The following is a 21,076-nucleotide window of genomic DNA, read 5'->3' on the forward strand; positions in this document are numbered from 1 at the left end:
AGACGGGAAGTAATCAAGATTCCGTAAACATCTCCAACGTCTCCAACAGTTCCTGACTACCCAGCTTCTTCTCTTTTGTCACTAGTTACCATTGCCTTGGTCATTTCAATGCATTTCTGTCCAGATTTGGACTCCCTGCCTTCCTTTACGCAATTGATGATACTGTTTCTCAGAGCACTGTAGCCCCTACAAGCCAGATCTTGGTAGAGGACCCCCATGTCGGGGAGGCCACACAATAAATGTGGAGCAGAGAAGTCACACGGAAACTCACGCAAGTTACATTACGCTTAAATATCCTGATTTGATGAGGTACAGATTTGTAATGAATCGTCACCCCCTTAATAATATTGGCTTTGGCCGGGCGCAGTGGCTCACGCCTGTAATCCCTGCACTTTGGGAGGCCGAGGTGGGTGGATCATGAGGTCAGGAGATCAAGACAACCCTGGCTAACACAGTGAAACCCCGTCTCCACTAAAAATACAAAAAATTAGCTGGGTGTGGTGGCGGGCGCCTGTAGTCCCAGCTACTCGGGAGGCTGAGGCAGGAGAATGGCGTGAACCCAGGAGGCAGAGCTTGCAGTGAGCCGAGATCGCACCACTGCACTCCAGCCTGGATGACAGAGAGAGACTCTGTCTCAAAGAAAAATAAATAAATAAATAATGATAATAATAATACTGGCTTTTTATATCTCAAGCCCAGAATTTAAAAAGTCTTGTATTAGAACCATTCAGTTAAGGTTACAGGAGGACAAGTCACAAAGACACAGACTTCATTTGTCCTGTCTTTTTGTATTTTGTGCATCAAAAAATCCTTAAGCACAGAAATCACTCTGAAAATGCTCTGCCTGGCTATCAATGGCCCAGAGATTCAGAGTAAAGGCTCTGCTACCATAATGCTTCTGTCTGATCCCTGGCTCATGCATTTTAAAGGGGCCGGACCTTGGCATTTAATTTAAACTCTGTATACTTTAACCTCCTCATCTGGAAATGAGGGGTAGTAGTCATAATAATAATAGCCATATGGACTTATTATGAATATTAAATAAGACAATATGTGTGATGCGCTTGGTACAGTGCAGGGCATGAAGTAGTAAATGTTGGTTTTTATGACTTAAATAATGTATTGCTGGTAATAATGATCACTATTGTTCATTCACAATTAATATTAAGAATAAATATGTTATTTATTCTTTATATTGTCAAATATGTTTTGCTTAAAGTTTAGTATTATTGCTAAAATATGTAGCAGTCTTTGTGTTATTTCAGCTATCACAAAGAATATATTTTGTATAATCATTCTAAGGAAACAATGGGCCGGGCGCGGTGGCTCAGGCCTGTAATCCTAGCACTTTGGGAGGCCGAGGCGGGTGGATTACCTGAGGTCAGGAGTTCGAGACCAGCCTGGCCAACATGGTGAAACCCAATCTCTACTAAAAAGACAACAAATTAGCCAGGCGTGGTGGCGGACACCTGTAATCCCAGTTACTTGAGAGCCTGAGGCAGGAGAATCACTTGAACCCGGGAGGCGGAGGTTGCAGTGAGCCGAGATCGCGCAACTACATTCCAGCCTGGGCAACAAGAGCGAAACTCCATCTCAGAAAAAAAAGGAAACAAAAACATGAATAACTTCCAGACATAAGCCTATGGATGCCAAACAGCTTCATAGAGTCACATATGGCTGCAATGATTTCCCATCGTTTCTCCTGTCTCTGCTCCACTATGAAAATCTTGTCAATTAACCTATATCATGTCTAAACCCAAGGTATCCCTGGTCACCTAGGATCTTTAATCACTGTGGTTCAAAGTAAGCACAGGCTTCTGAGACAGAAGAAATACTAGCTTTTGCTTTTTGAAACCCAGAAGTGCATTTCTCTACTTCCACAGAGAAATGGTCCCAAATGTAGCAGGAAGAACACGGACTGCACCAGGACTGTGGATGGACCTGGAGGGGACAAGCTGGTGGTAGAGTGAGGATGCTGAACATATGGGAAAGTGCCCTAGAGTCCGAGGCTTTCAGCAGGTCTCTCCTTGAGAGATGGGGCCATAGTTGGGGAGAGAAACTGGAGGAAATTTTATATAGAACTTAGAGTAGGCAAAAAAGCATGATGTTATTAGAGGTTAGACCCTTCAGTTGAATAGATTCTACAGTAGACACAGGCTCTGATTTAAAAAAAAAATGGACATATAGGAGTATTCATTGCACGCTAAGTTAGTTTTAAAATGTGACTGAGGCCAGGTGCGGTGGCTCATGCCTGTAATCCTAGCACTTTGGGGAGGCCAAGGTGGGTGGATCACCTGAGGCCAGGAGTTCAAGACCAGCCTGGCCAACATGCCGAAACATGTCTTTACTAAAAATACAAAACATTAGGCTGGGCTTGGTGGTGGGCGCCTATAATCCCAGCTATTCGGCTGAGGCAGGAGAATAGCTGCAACCTGGGAGGCAGAGGCAGCAGTGAGCTGAGATCGGCCCATGGCCCTCCAGCCTGGGCAACAGAGCGAGACTCTATCTCAAAAAAAATAAAATAAAATAAAATAAAATAAAATAAAATAAAATAAAAAGTGACTAAGTAGAAACAGTTAGGTCTTGGCCCCAAATTTGGGGCACCTTGTCACGCAGATTCTCTGACCTGAATATTAGATGCTCTGTTCTTTCCTAGATGAGTCTGGAAGCAATTGCATAGACAACCATTTTAGTCATATAACTTCATTCTTAGAAGATTCTTAACCAGTAACTGAGAATAAGTTTTGTTTCTATTTAAAGATGGTGAGAGTAATTACTGAATCATAATGCTGAGACATCCTGTTTGGCATCAAACGCTCTACCGATGCCAAACAGACTTTTCTTTCCTTACTTGAAGGAGAATGCCAGTAGGCCTTTGTGTCACCTATCGGGAGTTCTCCTGTTCGTCATCATTCTGAATTACCTTAATTACACATTTAAAAATCAAACTCATGTCCACAGTATGAGTATCGGCAGACTCTATACATTGCCATGATCCTTCTACTGTAATTTTTATTAAGAACAACTGTGGCTCTCTATTCAAGGGATTCCCAAGATTTTACGGTTCTTTTGTTTGGAGAGAGAAAAACAGAAGTCAAAGATCAGAGAAGCCTTCATGAAATTGATGGACTAATAACGGACAGCTTAGCATGCATGCTAGCATGTAACTTTCACCACCTCATTCCCTATCCCACACTTTTCAATCACAAAGTAAGTTCTAGTGTTGTGACTCCATTCTTGTCTCTTTGTGCTACATGTGAAAATTTGGGGAAACATGTTGGTTACTCTGTAAAAGCCTTTAGCCGATTTACTTCCATTTGATCCCATGAGTTTGGAGAGTGAACCTCACTAAACCCTAAAGGGGGCTTTCCTGTTTCATGACACCAGCCGTGAGACTATCTCAGTCTTAGCAAATGTACGAAGTCTCCAAATGCTCATCAACTTCCTTAAATGCTGTTAAAGAACTGTCCCTCCAGAAAGGGTTTGGAGTATATTGGTTGGTGAATTATGAGTCCAGAGGTAGACCCATGTAAATAAATTTGATCCTAGCACATCTCACGTCTTTCTTTTTTAGACAATGCTGTACCTAGTGCCATTGAGTGAGTGTGTTAGGTTTTCCTCATTACCAACATTTACTTGGCATTTTCAGAAATTTCTGATGGCTGTGGCTGAGTTTTCCAGTCCCAAGGGACACAGCATTTTTCTTCCATATCTTACTTCACTGGCCCCAGGTGTGTCAAAGTCGTAAGTAAAAACTAGGGCACAATATTTTGATGTCCATGGAATCTGAAAGGGTGGAAGCCATGGTACAGTCAAACAGATCCCCATAGAAATGATCTATTCATAACTAAGAAAGGAAGACTATCACTGCATAGACGGGGGTTACCAGAAGTCATCATCATTCTTTCATTCAACAGACATTTATTTATTTGTTTGTTTGAGACAGAGTCTCACTTTGTCACCCAGGCTGTGTACAGTGGCGTGATCTCAGCTCACTGCAACATCCACCTCCTGGGATCAAGCAATTCTCCTGTGTCTGGGATTACAGGCACCTGTCACCAAGCCTGGCTAATTTTTATATTTTTAGTAGAGATGGGGTTTTGCCATGTTGGCCAGGCTGCTCTTGAACTCCTGACCTCAGGTAATCCACCTGCCTTGGCCTCCCAAAGAGCTGGGATTACAGGCAAGAACCACTACGCCTTGGACACAGGGTGGGGAACATCACACACCAGGGCATGTTGTGGGGTGGGGGTAGGGGGGAGGGATAGCATTAGGAGATATACCTAATGTAAATGACGAGTTAATGGGTGCAGCACACCAACATGGCACATGTATGCATATGTAACAAACCTGCACATTGTGCACATGTACCCTAGAACTTAAAGTACAGAAAAAAAAAAAAGAGCCACCATGCTTATTGAGTCACATTTATTGAGCATCTACTATGATTGAGGCACTGTGGGAGATATAAATATAAATACGAAACAGTCTACTTTTAAGGAAAAACTTATGAATGACTAGCATGTACCATATTTTATATTCATTATTCTAATTCATACTTACAACAGCATTTTGAGCTTGGAAATAATTATCCCCGTTTGATAGATAAAGAAACTGAGGCTCAAAGAATATAATTCGTTTGCTCAAACAAGATCTGACAGTTGGTAAGTAGCAGACAGAGAACTGTCTGACTCCACAATATAAAGTTACCTTAATGTGAATGAAAAGACAGTTACTGCGATAAGTAGAAATCAAGGAAATACGTGATATGTCCAAGAGAAGAAAAAATAAAATCTTATAGGATTTCAGAGGAAACAGGTAAGAGCCAGACCCCACAAAAAATGAGCCCCGGCTCATCTGCTGATTGGCATAGAGCAAAACTGTCTTAGAAATACATTGGAATGTAGCGTTGCATTTACATAGATTAAAAGTTTGGGGAGAAGACAGTTCACATCTTTATGCATGGATACTGTCACACATTGGTGAATCGGTCCCCAAAATCCCCTGTCAGGAGACCAGCTGGGACTCAGTGGGGAAAAGGCCAGTAAGGACCTCTTCACCCCTAGATCATTTTCTGAAGTAGGAGCCAATCCTGTTTTCCCCTTCTGGAAAACTGATATCCACAAATTTGAAGTATAAATATCCATTTTCCACCCCAGTTGGAGCAATTATTGGCATTAAGTACTGGCTTATCTGCTGGATCTGTGAAAGAAAATAGGCACACTATAAGAATATAATGAAATAAAATCACTTTTTCCACATTTGGTAGCAAACTTGAATTACTTTACATTTCTTGTACTCCATTTCTCATGTCTGAGCTCAAAATAATACAGTAATAAAAACACATTTTATATAGTACATCACAGTACAATAGAGTACATTTGTTCTCCACAATTCCCCTGAGATAAATAAGAATTCATCTCCCCATATTAGAGATGAGAAAAATAGTTCAAAGAGCTTATGATTCCAAGGTTCAGAAAAAGTGTCTTTCTAGGATTACAGAGCCAGTAAGTGCAAAGCTAGACCTGTGGGCCAGACCATCCAGGATGCTCCTTTCTAGACATGATGTGGTCTCACAATACATATGGAATTTACTCTCTACTTTTCATCATCAACGGTGACACTTCAAGAAAGTGATTGCTTGGCCAGGTGCGGTGGCTCACACCTGTAATCCCAGCACTTTGGGAGGCTGAGGCTGGCAGATCACCTGAGGTCGGGAGTTCAAGACCAGCCTGACAAACATGGAGAAACCCCGTCTCTATTAAAAATACAAAATCAGCTAGACGTGGTGGTGCATGCCTGTAATCCCAGCTACTCGGGAAGCTGAGGCAGGAGAATCCCTTGAACCTGGGAGGCGGAGGTTGCAGTAAACCGAGATCGTGCCATTGCACTCCAGCATGGGCAACAAGAGCGAAACTCCGTCTCAAAAAAAAAAAAAGAAAGAAAGAGATTGCTCTTGCCAACTTTCCCCTAAGCAAAAGTCACACTAATTCACATATATCTCAGCATTTTTACCTTCAGTATGAAAGCCCCATACTTTACACAAAACTACATCTATATTGCTGAAATTCTAATATAGCTTCGTGCTACTTTCTAGCATTGCAGAAGACTTTAAATCTTTTTCGCTCTGTCTACCCTAGATAACCATATGTAGGAAATGACACAAATGAATGGAAGAATTCCACGCACATCTAGACACAGGAATGGGTTATGATTTCAGTAATAAGCTTAGTTACAAAGCTGATCCAAAACAATCATTTAAGCAAAGCTTAGTTCATTTGAGTAAAACACAAATTAAACAATAAGTTTTCCAAACAAGATCTGAAATAATCGGCATCTCCACAGTTCCCAGGAGAAGCAAACAGGCAGGTAAAGAACCTGTGTATACATTTGCATCTGCAAATAAGGACAACTGGATATAGCAAATCTCAGTTTTAAAAAATGTTCTTTATATAATCAGTTTTTAAATGTTTTATTTTCTTATTTACAGAACTCAAATACAACAAAACCACTGACCATATTTCAGGAACATGAAAATTATACAATGAAAAATAATTATGAAGATTTAATACTATTAAAAACATAGACATTTTTCCATGTGAACACATTCATGCTGTGAGCATGGACAGTTTACAAAGAGTCATTTCCACTCCACCTCACTCTTGCCCAATTACTTTTTGGGAAAATATTTATAATATATTTTCAAGATATTGGGTATGCACACTTCACTTAACCTGATGATATGTGTTGGGTTTAATAATGTGTTACCAAGTCATAACCTTATCATTTGGAGATAGTCTAGAGAGGCAGTCAAAATGGCCAAGTTTATGCAAAGTTGCAGAAACGAAAGACCAAATTGAATAAAAAGAAAATAACTGGCCGGGTGCGGTGGCTCACACCTGTAATCCCAGCACTTTGGGAGGCTGAGGTGGGCGGATCATGAGGTCAGGAGTTCAAGACCAGCCTGGCCAACATGGTGAAACCTCATCTCTACAAAAAATACAAAAAAAAAATTAGCCAGGCATGGTGGCTGTCACCTGTAATCTTAGCTACTCGGGAGGCTGAGGCAGAGAATTGCTTGAACCTTGGAGGTAGAGTTTGTAGTGAGCCGAGATCGTGCCATTGCCCTCCAGCCTGGGCAACAGAGCAAGACTCCGTCTCAAAAAACAAACAAACAAACAAAAAAACTAAAAAAAAAAAAAACCAACCCACCAAAAACCTAATCATTTTGGTCCCTCTTCCTTTTGCTTCAGGATTCTTTTTGCAAGTGCTACTAGAATCCTGCTCCCAGCTATCTAATCCTGGGCCTTTGCAGATCCACAGTGGCGTGAGAACCTTAGGTTATAATAATAAGATTTGAACACCACATTCAGCACTTCCTAAGATTCAGGGACTGGGCAGTCTTTTCACCTACATACAACCTTGCATGTAGCAAATAACATAAAACCCAGTTTGAGAGGGAGCATGTCTGGAATGCAACGATGTTTCATGGAAAATGGGGTACAGACATAATTCCCCCTGAATACAGTTCATCAGTGCTTTCCACAAAAGTGAGCTTTGATGAGATATCTAGTACCTAGGAAATACAAAATATAATATGAATTTATTGGGTTGTTCAACACTCCCCCAACGTTTCACAGTTTTTAATCATTCATAATCTGAACCATTTACTCTAAGAGTTTGTGATTTGACATTCTCATTGCCATCTTGTTATTACGAAATAAATGGAAAATCTAAAACCAAATGTATATAAATAGGTTACTTTATGCTTTAATTCATGGAAAATAGTTTTTAAGTCTTTTTTATTATTTTAAGAAACGAACTAAAAGTAATCAAGAAGAATCAAAATATTGGATGTAACTGTCTAACTTCTGTATCTGTTTATTTATCTATAAAATAGGATTGACAATGTTGTCCTAAACTTACAGAGGAATATAAATGTAATAAGCCTTTTAAATCTCTGCTTTGTAAACCACAGAGAAAAAGGCACTATGTAAATATTGTTATCTTTGTGCCTCATTATCTGAGCTAATGATAACTGTAGAAAAGTTAGGTCAAATAACATTAAATGGACACTAGAATAAAACTTCAGTTTCAATGTGTTGTTTTACCATTTACATTGACAAGTGAGGATAAAAAAAGAGCATGAAGGAAATATAGCAAACACTTTGATTAGATTATGTCACCAAAATTCCAATGTAGAAATAATATCTAAAATAACAGCAGTTTCTGTTTCTGCCAACTTCTAAAATAAAAACCAACTCAGATTCAGCGTATCAGTGGAAATTAAAATAATACATTTTAAAAAATTCTCTAACCTGCTTCTAAAAATCATAACACAATTCTGATAATTGACCAATAGCATCATTTTGAGCTACTTAATTACACATCATTAGCAAGAGTAAAAATGCCAAGAAGCTCATATTGACATGGTTTCCATTTTTGGGAAATGGTCAAGTGATTCTTATGCAGGCATAGCTTACTCTGTGACTCAGAGGCACAGTTTTTACAGAGAACCAGAAAGGTTCTATGACTGGTACGAAACATTGAGCAGAAGGAGAATGGGGCCCACATATTACTACCCTCCACTTAATGTTTCATTTTTTGCACATTTATTTTGAACAAGCCTTAAGTCTCTTAGCCCATGTATCTGAGATTTTGTGAGCCGATCTGCAAAATCCAATCTGAAGCTCATCCCAATACACAACAATAAGTGAATCCTTCAGGTATAGTGCTGTGCAATCGTTCATGCTTTACAAACTCTCATTTGCCTCCTTCAAGCCAAGGGAGTATCTTACTTATCTCTATTTTCTTCGGGCTGGTGCAAACTTTCAAAACACAGTGAGTGTTATTATTTAGTTAATAACAATAGGTCCCTAATCAGGTCCCTAATTTATTAATAAACCAGGTTTGCCTCAGGTTTGAATAACAAACAACTTTTCTAGCTCAATTTGTCATTTATTTTCTTTTTGTTTTGTCTCTCTCTCTCTCTCTCTCTCTCTCTCCCTCCCACCTCCCTTGGACTTTTATTCCATCTCTAGCTTATCCATACTTCTATCACTGTCTTATCAGCTTCAAAAGTTGTCCAAAGCCCTGTGGCTTTTTTCTCCACTGGGAAAGTGACAACCTAAGCCAGGATGCTGAGCCCTGTGTCTGCTTTCTGCTTGCTCAGCAAAGACCTTAGTTGTATTGCCAGTGCTCCTGATCACTCACTCACCTCCCAGGATGGGTTTTTTGTTTTTGGTTTTTGTTTTTTTTTTTAATTTTCACAGTCAGAAGTAGGGAAAGCTGAGTGTTAATGGTTATTTACAGTAGGGGTCCTCAACCCCCAGGCCACAGATAGTACCAGTCTGTGACCTGTTAGGAACTGGGAACCAGGCCACAGAGCAGAAGGTGAGTGGCAGGCAAGCAACTCACATATGAAGCTTCGTCTGTATTTACAGCCGCTCCCCATTGCTTGCATTACCGCCTGAGCACTGCCCCCTGTCAGATCAGTGGTGGCATTAAATTCTCAGAGGAGCGTGAACCCTATTGTGAACTACACATACAAGGGATCTAGGTTGTATGCTTCTTAGAAGAATCTAATGCCTGATAAGCTGTCACTGTCTCCCATCACCTCCAGATGGGACCATCTAGTTTCAGGAAAACAAGCTCAGGGCTCCTACTCATTCTACATTATAATGAGTTGTATAATTATTTCATTATATATTACAATGTATTAATAATAGAAATAAAGTACACAATAAATGTAATGCTCTTGAATCATCCTGAAACAATCCCCCCTCCACTGATCCATGGAAAAATTGTCTTCCACAAAACCAATCCCTGGTGCCAAAAAGGTTGGGGGCCACTGATTTACAGGGTGCATTTCCCAGTAAGACATCTTCAGGATGTTCCCATTACAATCAAAGCATTTTCCTCCACCTAAGCACTCCATCCCTTACTTGCTTATCCTTTGAAGCCAGAGATCCTACTCTTCATGTGTTCCACTGGACATTTAAGGATTTTATGAATCACTAACCCTCAGACGCCCTTAAAAATCACTCTATTTTTCAGCTCAAAACCCTGCTACACAGCCTAAGGAAGAAACAGTAAGTAAAAACCATTTTTTAAAGAGTTTATCTACTGTCATCATCAAGAATTTATTAAATGCTGACCAGGCATGATGGCTCATGTGTGTAATTCCAGCACTTTGGGAAGCTGAGGCAGGAGGATCACTGTAGTCCAGATGTTGGAGACCAGCCTGGACAACATAGTGAGATCCCTCTACTATATATATATATATATATATATATATATATATTTTTTTTTTTTTTTTTTTTTTTTTAAATTAGCTGGGCATGGTGGCACACACCTGTGGTCCCAGCTACTTGGGTGGCTGAGGTAGGAAGATCGCTTGAGCCTGAGAGGTTGAGGCTACAGTGAGCCATGATCATGCCACTGCACTACAGCCTGGGCAACAGAGCAAGACTGTCAAAAAACAAACAAAAAAGGATTGCCGTATGGAACAGTGCTTAGAGGTATTTTTAAAATTGCATCAAAACCGTAGATGGTTAACATGACCTAATACCCCACTCTCCTCAGAAGTTCAGGACAATGCAAAAGCATTGGATGAATCACCAGGAAATGTGAGTTTTAAGCCTAAATAACAAATTATCTAAGCCTAGTTTCCTCATCTGTCTACCTCCAGGAACTGTTGTGAAGAGCTGCAGGTGAAATTAATTGATAAGTGGTAAAATTTACTCACGTAAGCTTTTTATACCTTTTCATTCATACATATTTACCTTGGGAAAAGAGAGAAATGAGTAGAAGTAAAATAAAAGGGAAGGAGAGAAATGTCATAGGTGTACCAATAAATCTCTGCAAGATTTCCTTTGACATCCTTCTGTAGCAATATGGTCTACTGTCAAACAAACGTTTCTTTAAGGGACTCTCTAATCTCTACCCTAAAGCTCTCATCCTGAAATAATGTCCCAAATATCATAACCAATTTGTTTTGACCACTAAACAGGCCACTTTGTTGTTCCTACAATAAGCCAAAAATCATATTATAACCCTAATTAATACTCATGATGATGGGCAGGCACTAATCTGATATGTAATGACCAATAGTTACAAATCCTTAATAGGTAATTTTGCCATACTCAGCAGTTTTGTTATCCAAATTACTTTGCTCAAACAACGGTCACCCCATTTGGCTTTAACTCCTATGGCGTGAGACCAACCCAGCCTAATGCTTTCTTGGTGACTAGCTCTAGTTCAAGGGGCAGCATGTCCCCTAGGACATAGGAAGTCTCGGATCTACTGGAAAGACATCATCACATACTTTACTAGGAATAAGAGAAATGATGACTAGAGGCTTCAATGTCAAGTTTATTTTCTCAGGAATGGGGGTGTAGTACAGGATAGCTAGGTTTTCCAAAGCAAGTTCACAAGCCTTATAGCTTCAGTCTTATGAACAATCTATCTTTTGACATTTTTTTTTTCTCAAAGGTGTTCTGGAAAGCAGAGAATGTGGGAACATAATAAACATGAGTCATATGGAGGTGGAGGACCCCCCACTAGGGGCCTGGCATTTGGAGATAAATAGACTGTGAGAAGGTTACTGAAATTGCATTTGACTGGCCAAGTTCTCTTTCAGTGGAGTAGCAATGTGAAATAAAACGCAATACAATGGCTCCGAAGGATTGTTTGTAAGGATAAATAGGACAGGAGACAGACTCTCATGTGCTATGTTTTTCCCATTTCAGATTAATTTAAAAACCACTTATCTAATAAAAAATTTACTGTTAATTGATACAAGTTAAGTACTACTACTGTTAGTACTATTAAGTACTATTAGTACAGAAGAGATTTATTTCATCTCGTGCTGTTTGGAAATTTGACATCATTCCTGGCTTTCACCTCACCCCGCCCCCCCATTATAATCCATTGGAAATGGGACAGCGACAAGAGCTATTTAATGTGTCACAACACAGAGTGAGGGGAAGAAGTGCTGGAAGTGGAGGCTTTTCAAAGAGTGGAGGAAATAGTGAAGCATGATGATTACAGAATATGTTTTTTTTTCCTTCTTTCTCCCTCCTTTTTTGTATGAGCTTTGTTTTTGTTTTTGTTTTTGTTTTCTTATTTTATGGCTAAAGTGTTATTCCTAAAGGGTGTGTTCTTTCAGGTTTATGGCCCTGACTAATGGAATTGCTCTAAATAACATTTTGATCTTGTAAGGTCACCCAGAGTGCTATACCTTTCCTTTAATGAGTCAGGTCTGGACCAGGCATTTCCCAGAATTGAGATGGTAATGAAGTCATTAGTTTCTTCCTACTTGAAGCCCTGGCTAGAAAGCAGAATTCTATGGGCAAAGTCTGAGTGGGCTTTTTTCATAAATCTCACACCCAGCTGAGCTGTAACACCTGTTACATTTTCCCAGGAGCTTGAGCCATAAGACCATTTCCAATCTATTTGCTCTTCTTCTTCCACAGGACACTGACAAAGGCAGGGGTCCCTGTTTTCTAAGGCACTGCTAATTGAAAATCTCTGGCTGGTGCAAATGTGAGCTCAAACCCACAAGAGTTCCAAATAAGGCCCCAATGATTATTTCCTCCTCTTTTTAAAAATAGCCTTTATAATGCAGGTTATACAAGATTAATTTGTTCGAGGGAAAAATAGTCATTGAACCCTTGCCCCCAATAAACTTTTGCTTTCCATGCACAGTTTTTTAAAAAAGAAAGAAAGGAGAGGGGAAAATAATAAAACCCAGAGATCAGCTAACCCTACAAGCCCTGTGTTTGTGGGAATTGAAGGATGGGGGTAGCATTAAAGTGTGTTTGCTTTTGCTGTGGGCTTTTAAAATCTTTCCTATTTATTAATTTTGAACACAAGAATTGGGAACAAAATTGAGTCAGATGATTGTGCAGATGTAAAGTGATTACAATGGCAATGGAAAGTTTAAAAGAAAATTGTATTTTCATAACCTGAGTAATTAAAAGAAGAGGCAATTTCCCTATAGAATCCTTGAAAGGAAAAAAAAAACACGCATCCATCAATAGAAAAGATGGGCAACTCCAGCCCTAATAGCAGTGGGGGGGGGGAACCCTGAAAAACAAGGACAGGATTATGTGTCAGATGACATTTAATATAAACACATTCACGATTACATATTGCTCTGGGAGTCCGAACACCCTAAGGGTGTGAGTCTTGAAGTCAAAACTTTTGAGACCCACAAGTCATAACACAGCCAGTTATCAACTGTTCCCTGTAGTCCCACCAACTGCATTTTTCACCGAAATCCCCTAAAGAAACAAACTGCCTTTGAATTCTGTACTGTGCTTCATTGGTTATTTTTTTGTTTCTTTGTTTGTCGCTTTGGGGATTTGTTGTTGTTGTTTTTAAGTATATTGCTTGTATTATTGTCATTGTTTGAGCTAGGTACTTTTGTATATCTCATTCTTAAGATACATTCTCTTTAACTATTTTCCTGCTTGTCTAATAATTGAGAAGACAGTCTCAGCTTTTTACTATGAGGAGGGAGTATTGATCAGTAGGAAGAGGCTATCATTTCATTGCAAGAGAAAAAAGTAAATTTTTAAGTAATTGTTTAATAAGCTCTATTCCCAGAGCAAAAAATTGTTTTCATTTTATTTTGTTTTGTTTATTTATTTATTTATTTATTTTTGAGACAGAATTTCGCTCTGTAGCCCAGGCTGGAGTGCAGTGGCACAATCTCTACTCACTGCAACCTCCGCCTCCCAGGTTCCAGCAGTTCTCCTGCCTTAGCCTCCCAAGTAGCTTGGATTACAAGCACCTCCCACCACACCCGGCTAATTTTTGTATTGTTAGTAGCGAGAGATGGGGTTTCACCATGTTGGCCAGGCTGGTCTCAACCACCTGACCTCAAGCCTCCTAAAGTTCTGGGGTAACAGGTGTGAGCCACGGTGCTGGTTCAAATAGTTTTAATTCTACTGTGACATCTATATATAGGTCTAAATCCAATCGTGAAAAGAGCTGAGGTGACCAGAACCTTCAATACTTACTGAAATAGTTCCTAAACCATATACGAGTCCCTAAAAAATAAATTTGGATGCGTATTTATTGAAAAGGAAAGAGGTTCACAATCCATCACTGAGGAAAAAGCTTTTAAATGGACCCACTTGAAAGTTGTCATCGTTTGGCGGGTCGAAAATGTTCAAATATTTGCAATTTCCTATTTTAACTTAAATATTATGCAAGACAATATGAATATTATGATCTGATTTTGTTGTTTTTTAATATATACTCTGAAAATTTAGCAGCAGTTATCCTTGGGATGGGATTATGGGTCACTTTTAATTCGTTTCCTCTTTTGGCTTACCTATATTTTTTACTTCTTCAGGAATAAATCCCTGGGTTTACCCTCAAGCTCCAGTCTGAAGCTAGCCAAAATATTTGAGAAAATATTAGTCATTTCCTTGTGGCTGCTGTCAATCTTCATCCCCATTCTCAGCCTACTTGTACTCTTCAGGGTTGTTGAGTTTTTTCCCTATCTGTATTTCAGCAATTCTAACTATTAATACATAACCCATAGGGTTTGACACTACAACGAGTCAAACAATCTGATAACTTAAAAATCACATTGGGGCCGGGCGCGGTGGCTCACGCCTGTAATCCCAGCACTTTGGGAGGCCGAGGCGGGTGGATCACGAGGTCAGGAGATCGAGACCATCCTGGCTAACACGGTGAAACCCCGTCTCTAATAAAAAAATACAAAAAATTGGCCAGGTGTGGTGGCGGGCGCCTGTAGTCCCAGCTACTTGGGAGGCTGAGGCAGGAGAATGGCGTGAACCCGGGAGGCGGAGCTTGCAGTGAGCCGAGATCGCACCACTGCACTCCAGCCTGGGCGACAGAGCAAGACTCTGTCTCAAAAAATAAAGAAAAAAAAGAAAAAGAAATCACATTGGATTAGGAAACAAATCTACAATTGACCTGGATTTCTTTTTTTCTACCTAAACCCACTATAAATATAATATGTCACAATTCTGTCCAAAGAATTTTACGTTCCTGTCCACTGCACTGAAAATTAGAGATAGGCTCTCACAGAGGAAAAGCGATGCAAAACAAAGACTCTCAACAGCCTGAATGGAAATTTCTAGAAAAAATATGGTTCAGGTGGTAACTTCTTATCCGTTAAGAAGGACCAGTAACACTGATTCTGTCAGACATATCTTCTCTCATTTCCAGAAGTTTGGATTATTTCTAGATTTTTCTATCTCTTTCTCATCACCTACTCCTTTAGTTCCCTGCTTATCAAATGAGTGCTTTTCTGGCTTTACATTGATCATCGCCAATTTTTACTTTTCTTCTTTCTTGTTTTATTTGGCCATTGTTGTCCAAGAGAGCTAAACTTTGCCATCCTGTTTTGCCAATAGATTCTATCATTTATTTCAATATTTCCTGTCAGATATTAGTACCTGACTTGATGGATTTTCTATTTTGTATGTGTTAGTAATGAATATTAGTGTTTATAATCTTCTTTAAAGCTCAGAATTTATTTTAAAGGGAACTATTAAATCTTTAGGTTGGTGATACTGATCTATGTTTTAATGATGGAAAGCTGGGGAAAAATAATTTTAAATTAAACCTCACACCATTAACAGAGGCAGCATGAAGTGTTAGAAATTAAATTGCTTGTAAGTGGAGGTTATAACCCAGGTTCTGTAACAAACTCTGGGTGACTTTGAGCATGTGTCACTTAACCTCTTTGGGCCTTAAGTATCATCATCTGTATGTTAAAAGATTTTCAAGAGACAGAACATAGGTCTCTCTATTTCTGCTTTTGTTTGGCTCTCAATCCATTAATCCATAAATCCTCTTTGAGCTCCTGTGTGACTCTGATGCAACATTGATTGTCTACAATGACCAATAGCCAAGATCCACCCGGCCTGTGATTCCCACAGCTGTGAGACTCAGCTCTGAATCTTGAGTTGCCAAGGCACAGAGATTCTCTTATTATTTCTTTACTATTTCCTAATGGCTCTTTTGGTTTTCAAGGCACAGAAAGAATTCTCCTGACAGATGCTTCCACTGGGTGCAAGTAGCCCTGCTGCATAAACTTCTCCTATGCAACAGCTGATGGAGTTGAGTTTCACTGTGTCCATAGATGTCCAACACCATATTTAGGAATTTCCCAGACTCTCATTCTTCCCCAAATTCCCACCCAAACTGCACCCCTGTGGAACAGAAGTGAAAATTGACTAAGAATGTTATTCAGAATCAAATGGGAAAGTTTCCACAGCTCCAGGTAATAAAAGTAAAAAGACAGGGTGATCTTTGAATTCCTCTGGAGAAAAATTAAAATGTTCTTTATTAGTTGCTATAGTGTCCAAGGAAAGCCTCCTCTCACCCTTTTTTTTTTTTAAATAAGGGCTTCTCCTTCCTACACAGTTCTTTTAATACAAGTGAAAAATTCCAAATTCCTCATTTGTTTAGCTTGAAAATCCCCTGCACATTCCCACAAACTACTTCCTTTTCTCTCTTTTTAGCAAGACTCCCCTCTCTTTAATGAAGAGAAGTTCAGAGGGTTTTTCCCATGAATAGATGGCAGGCACCTGGGAGTTATGAATTTTAAAGTGATCATTTTCTTTCAGCCATGCTGGACAATGGGCATCTCCTTTTGACTCACTTTCACAGCTTTGAGAGGCTCTCAGATCAGCCACATTCCAATCGGACTGGAGTCAGATCAGAGCTGTGCTGGACCGCATCAAGGTCTCGCACAGAAAGACAAGGAGCAGATGGCCGGCACCGAGCCCTCCTCCCCCTTTCAGCGTGCAAAGGCAGGCAATGTGGGAAAGCGTTCGCCCGGCATTGCCTATTGATCCCTGAATAGAACCACCGCATGCCACCAGCCTGTAGGTATGAACCTCTGTTAACAGATGGTGAGATCATTATGAGCAATTAATTCCTTTAATGTATCAGTGGGAACATGTTGGAAAAGATGATGCAAGCACTGAGTGAATAGTGAACTTCTCACTCCTGGGGGAGCACGCAGGATCTACCTTGGGGGGTGCTGGGAATATCTTCCCAGGCTGCATCTATATCCCAGGCTGGAGACAGGAGCTGGGAACTGACTCCACAGAACAGAGGTGTGGTTTTCATTAACTAATTGTGAATCCTTGCCTTTCTTCATGATTAATGCCAGATTTGTCTCTAGGTCATTTTTATGTATACATAAGAATCATCCAAAACACAGAAACAAACAAAAACAATGTTGGTCAGTAAGTCCAAGATGCATGGGGAATTGTTTCACAGAAATCAGCAAAGTATCAGGTCATGGGTCACATTTGCTAAACACAAATATGGTTGTGACAGTTCTAAATTGAAAATAAATGTTGCTTTTGACAAAGATAAAAGAATGATAAAAATATGCACAGCCCAGCATTGGAGTAAGGAAGACAATGTTTGGACGTGTTATAAATTAGTACTTTTAAAAGAGGATTTAAAAAAAAAATGAACCCACATATATAATGAATTGGAGCAAATGACACATGTAGCAAATTATTTCCCCCAGCATAAGCTGGAATAATTTTTAGATCTCAGTAACAATATGAGAATGACTATCAGTGGCCAACTGAAAAAACCTGGTACCCTGTTATTCAGAAATGGCTCTGAGTACTAATCAGTGCAATAACAATGGCGTTTTTACATGTTTCCCGACTTTTTTTTTTTTAATATTTCATAGTGGAGGTGTTTTTCTTTCACAGGAAAAAGAAAAATCTTCTAACACAGTATGGATCATTGGGCAGAAGACAGAAAATACAGAAACAGGAAATACAGGCAACTATTCACTTAATTCATATTTAAATGACACTTTCTGCTTGTAATTAAGACACTCAAGTAGTGTCTCTGTTCATGAAATTTACATAACTGTACAATAGCTTGCCTAAATGAACAGCAAATGGCAGTTAACTTTGAAGTGTATTATCTTAATTGAATAAATCTGGCTTTAATTCAATAAATTAAAAACATAGAAAAAATATCGCAAAGACTTTTAAAAACAGACTTGCCACCCCCCATAAATACAGCATGGTACTGTTTATAGCTGTGTTGGAATGCTCGGACATTTTCCAGTATGATTTTAGAACTCTAAAAGCATTCCGGTACACACTCACTGTTTTTCCATCATTGTTTCCAAAGCAAATCAATGTCACTTTCTGGAAATCATTGATAAGAATATCTGAACACGAAATCAAAACACATAAGCTTGCTTATATGAGATGGTTCCTCATCTGGGCTTCCAATTTCTCCATCTCCATGGGAAATCTGGTCTTTCTCTTTTTCAATTCTGTATCACTGAGTGTCCTATGACATAGAGAAAAGACTAAATAGAGGAAAATCGTTTTCTTGCATAGGAAATACACGTTCCCATCACTTTTCCATTTAAATCAGATTTACATGGATCATAAATCCCTTCAGCATAGGAGAACTGACAGAAGATGCTAAATTCTCCCCTCCCAAAGTTTGTTGCTTTAATCAGCACCATCGTGTTTCAGTGATTATATAGTTAAGGAGAAGAAATCATGCAATATGTTTTTATTTGCATGAAATAAGTTAATTAGGCACCACCTGTGCCTTGTATCAGTCAACTAGGGGAAAAAAAAGGCAGGAGAACACAGGTGTTCTAAGAGCATCATAGTAGATTTTATACATTAACTTAAAAATTCTAAAACCTAAAATCACTTATCAGAATCCAGCAGCGCATATTGCTAAGGAATAACCCATGCACGATTGCGCACGCACACACAGACACACACACACACACACACACACGCACACACACACAGATATAAATAAAAATCGCTGTGAAGAAATTCCTGGTTTCTTGGCTAGCAAGAAAAAAAAGGTCGTAATTCATTCTTTCCTCGTTCTCACAGTGTTCACTATTGTACCATCTGCAATATACAATGTACATGCTCAGCCATAACCCATACGGCTGGAAAAGAAGCATTCACACTGTGAATTACCATTTTTCCCAGCATCTAGCTCTAGTCAAAGACAGCACAATAATAAACTAGAAGCTCCTTTGTCTGTTAAACATTGTTCTTCATTACTACATGAAAAGCAAATTGTCTTTGTATAGAGGAAGAGTGGCACACACGGCCATGGGAGTGGGGGAAGGGATTTGTCTCTCTCACTGACCACCTCACAGCCACGGCGGCCATTCTTCTTTCTCCACTTGCCCACCCAACTATGCCTTGGAAATTACTTCATCTGCAAGCCCATTGGGGATAGATCCCTTGCTCCATTGAGTGAGATGTTGGATTAGAGACTCATGGTATGCTTTTACACTGAATGTCCTGACACTTACATCCACAGATACATATTTTTAAAATCAATTTGGTCTGTCACTTTTTACTTTTTTATGAGAAGTGAAGCTTATCCCAGACATTCTTTTTTTCTGGGCTAAATATACTCAGCAAGTTATTGTGGGTTGTTTGGGCTCCTAAGAGCCAAGTGAAAAGCAAGCGAGGAAGAAAACCAAGAAAATATTTGGAGCAGCAGATATAGATAAAAATGTAAACATATAGCTATAGCACATAGTAATGCTTACTATGAAAGTTAAGAAAATGTATACATTAGACCAGAACTAACTCATCCAATGAAAGGGTCCTTGTAATGGAAATCGGTCACTTATAAGAAATTAATGATGGCCTAAAGGTTTTTTATTCTTTTGGATTTAACAAATTCCAACAAATCTTTCACCCAATGAACTTGCTTACAAAAACTTTACCAAATTAAACTTTACCAAACAAAAACTTTACCAAATTAAAATATCATGACAGATAGACATGAAGGCCAATGGGCAAACTCAAGTCCTTATTTCAAATGTCAAAGAAAATTGCTTCTTTGTGACACCTCGTTTCACTCTCAATGGATCATTGCCATAGTGTGTTGCTGGAAAGGTGTGCCAGGAGATGTAGAAGGGTGCTCTGACAGGCATAAAGTGAGCGGCAAAAGTCAGATCTGTAGAATTAACCGTACTGGATAGGGACTGGCTGAACAAAATAAACCACCTGATTATCAGTCCCAAAGTAGTTCAGTTTGTGTGTTCACTGTTAAAAAGAAGCCGAGATCTCATCAGAGACTAGTAAAAATCACTGGGGAGAGAATGTCCAAAGATAAACTGTGGACATAAAACAGCTGTTTCTATATTGGCGGGTTTTGCAGTAGACTTTGTGATTGCTAGTTTTCCTCCCTTGCATGGGAATAATACTTGGCTCACCGAGTTGTCATTAAGCTTCAAAAACATTATATGTATAAAATAACTCCAATAATTTCCCGTATATAGTAGGTTCACAATAAGTGCCAGTTGCCTTTTCAGATGCAGATTAACATTTGATTTTAATTTAGGAAGAAAAGAACTTAATTGCCAAGTACCATGTTCACATTCGTTCTCTTACAGGAGACATAATTTTTTATTTTTAATGTGCCATACTTGACAACCTGAGAACTTATGATTGTGAAGTAATCATAATGATTCCTCCCAACTTTGAAATGCTGTTATTCTGGAATATTCCCCAATTTCTAAACTTTATATACTCAACCCAGAAAATAAGTCTATTCTCCTAGAGGTCACAACTATAATCTATCTAAAGAGAAGCCTGCTTATGTATTTTTACCATGTGACATGTGACTTAGGGCTAGCTTTGACTTAGGCAGGCCCATTCTATGTAAACATGATGCTGACATCACCAGGAGACAGAGGAAGAATCTCAGTCCATGCCCATGAGAAAGTGGTAAAAATACATGAGTCACATTAGAAACATCTGTCTTCAATCCCAAATTAAGGACTTCCCAGAATAAGGGACAACTTGTGGACCACATGATCTGCTCTCCAACTTGAACTATTTGCTTATTTGTCTTAATTCTATGAATATATAAAAAATAGCTAATGGTTTCCCTTTCTTAATAATACTGCATTTCCTTGAGAGTTTGCATGCTGGTTTCCAAATTGTTACAACAAATATATTTTTTTAATTTTCAGCTCGAATGCCCCTTCTTAATTTAGAATGACAATATTTGTTCCTCAACTCATAAAACAAAGCATTTA

The 21,076-nt window shown here is 39.1% G+C and overlaps 3 annotated features.

The window, feature by feature from the left end:
• Positions 12,068 to 12,593: an enhancer, noted in NCBI's record as "OCT4-NANOG hESC enhancer chr6:19715338-19715863 (GRCh37/hg19 assembly coordinates)". NCBI's record gives its function as "activates a minimal SCP1, AML or CMV promoter by ChIP-STARR-seq in naive H9 embryonic stem cells {active_cell/tissue: H9 hESC(naive)}" and the evidence as "EXISTENCE:reporter gene assay evidence [ECO:0000049][PMID:30033119]".
• Positions 15,952 to 19,640: an enhancer, noted in NCBI's record as "VISTA enhancer hs1533". NCBI's record gives its function as "enhancer in: midbrain (mesencephalon)[5/7] | forebrain[6/7] | eye[5/7]" and the evidence as "EXISTENCE:transgenic organism evidence [ECO:0001131][PMID:17130149]".
• Positions 16,080 to 17,279: an enhancer, noted in NCBI's record as "P300/CBP strongly-dependent group 1 enhancer chr6:19719350-19720549 (GRCh37/hg19 assembly coordinates)". NCBI's record gives its function as "activates an origin of replication core promoter dependent on BRD2, BRD4, P300/CBP, MED14 and CDK7 cofactors, with strong dependence on P300/CBP, by STARR-seq in HCT116 cells {active_cell/tissue: HCT116}" and the evidence as "EXISTENCE:reporter gene assay evidence [ECO:0000049][PMID:35650434]".

The sequence above is a fragment of the Homo sapiens genome, chromosome 6 (genome assembly GCF_000001405.40).
Source record: "Homo sapiens chromosome 6, GRCh38.p14 Primary Assembly".
In the NCBI taxonomy this organism is placed as follows: Eukaryota; Metazoa; Chordata; class Mammalia; order Primates; family Hominidae; genus Homo; species Homo sapiens.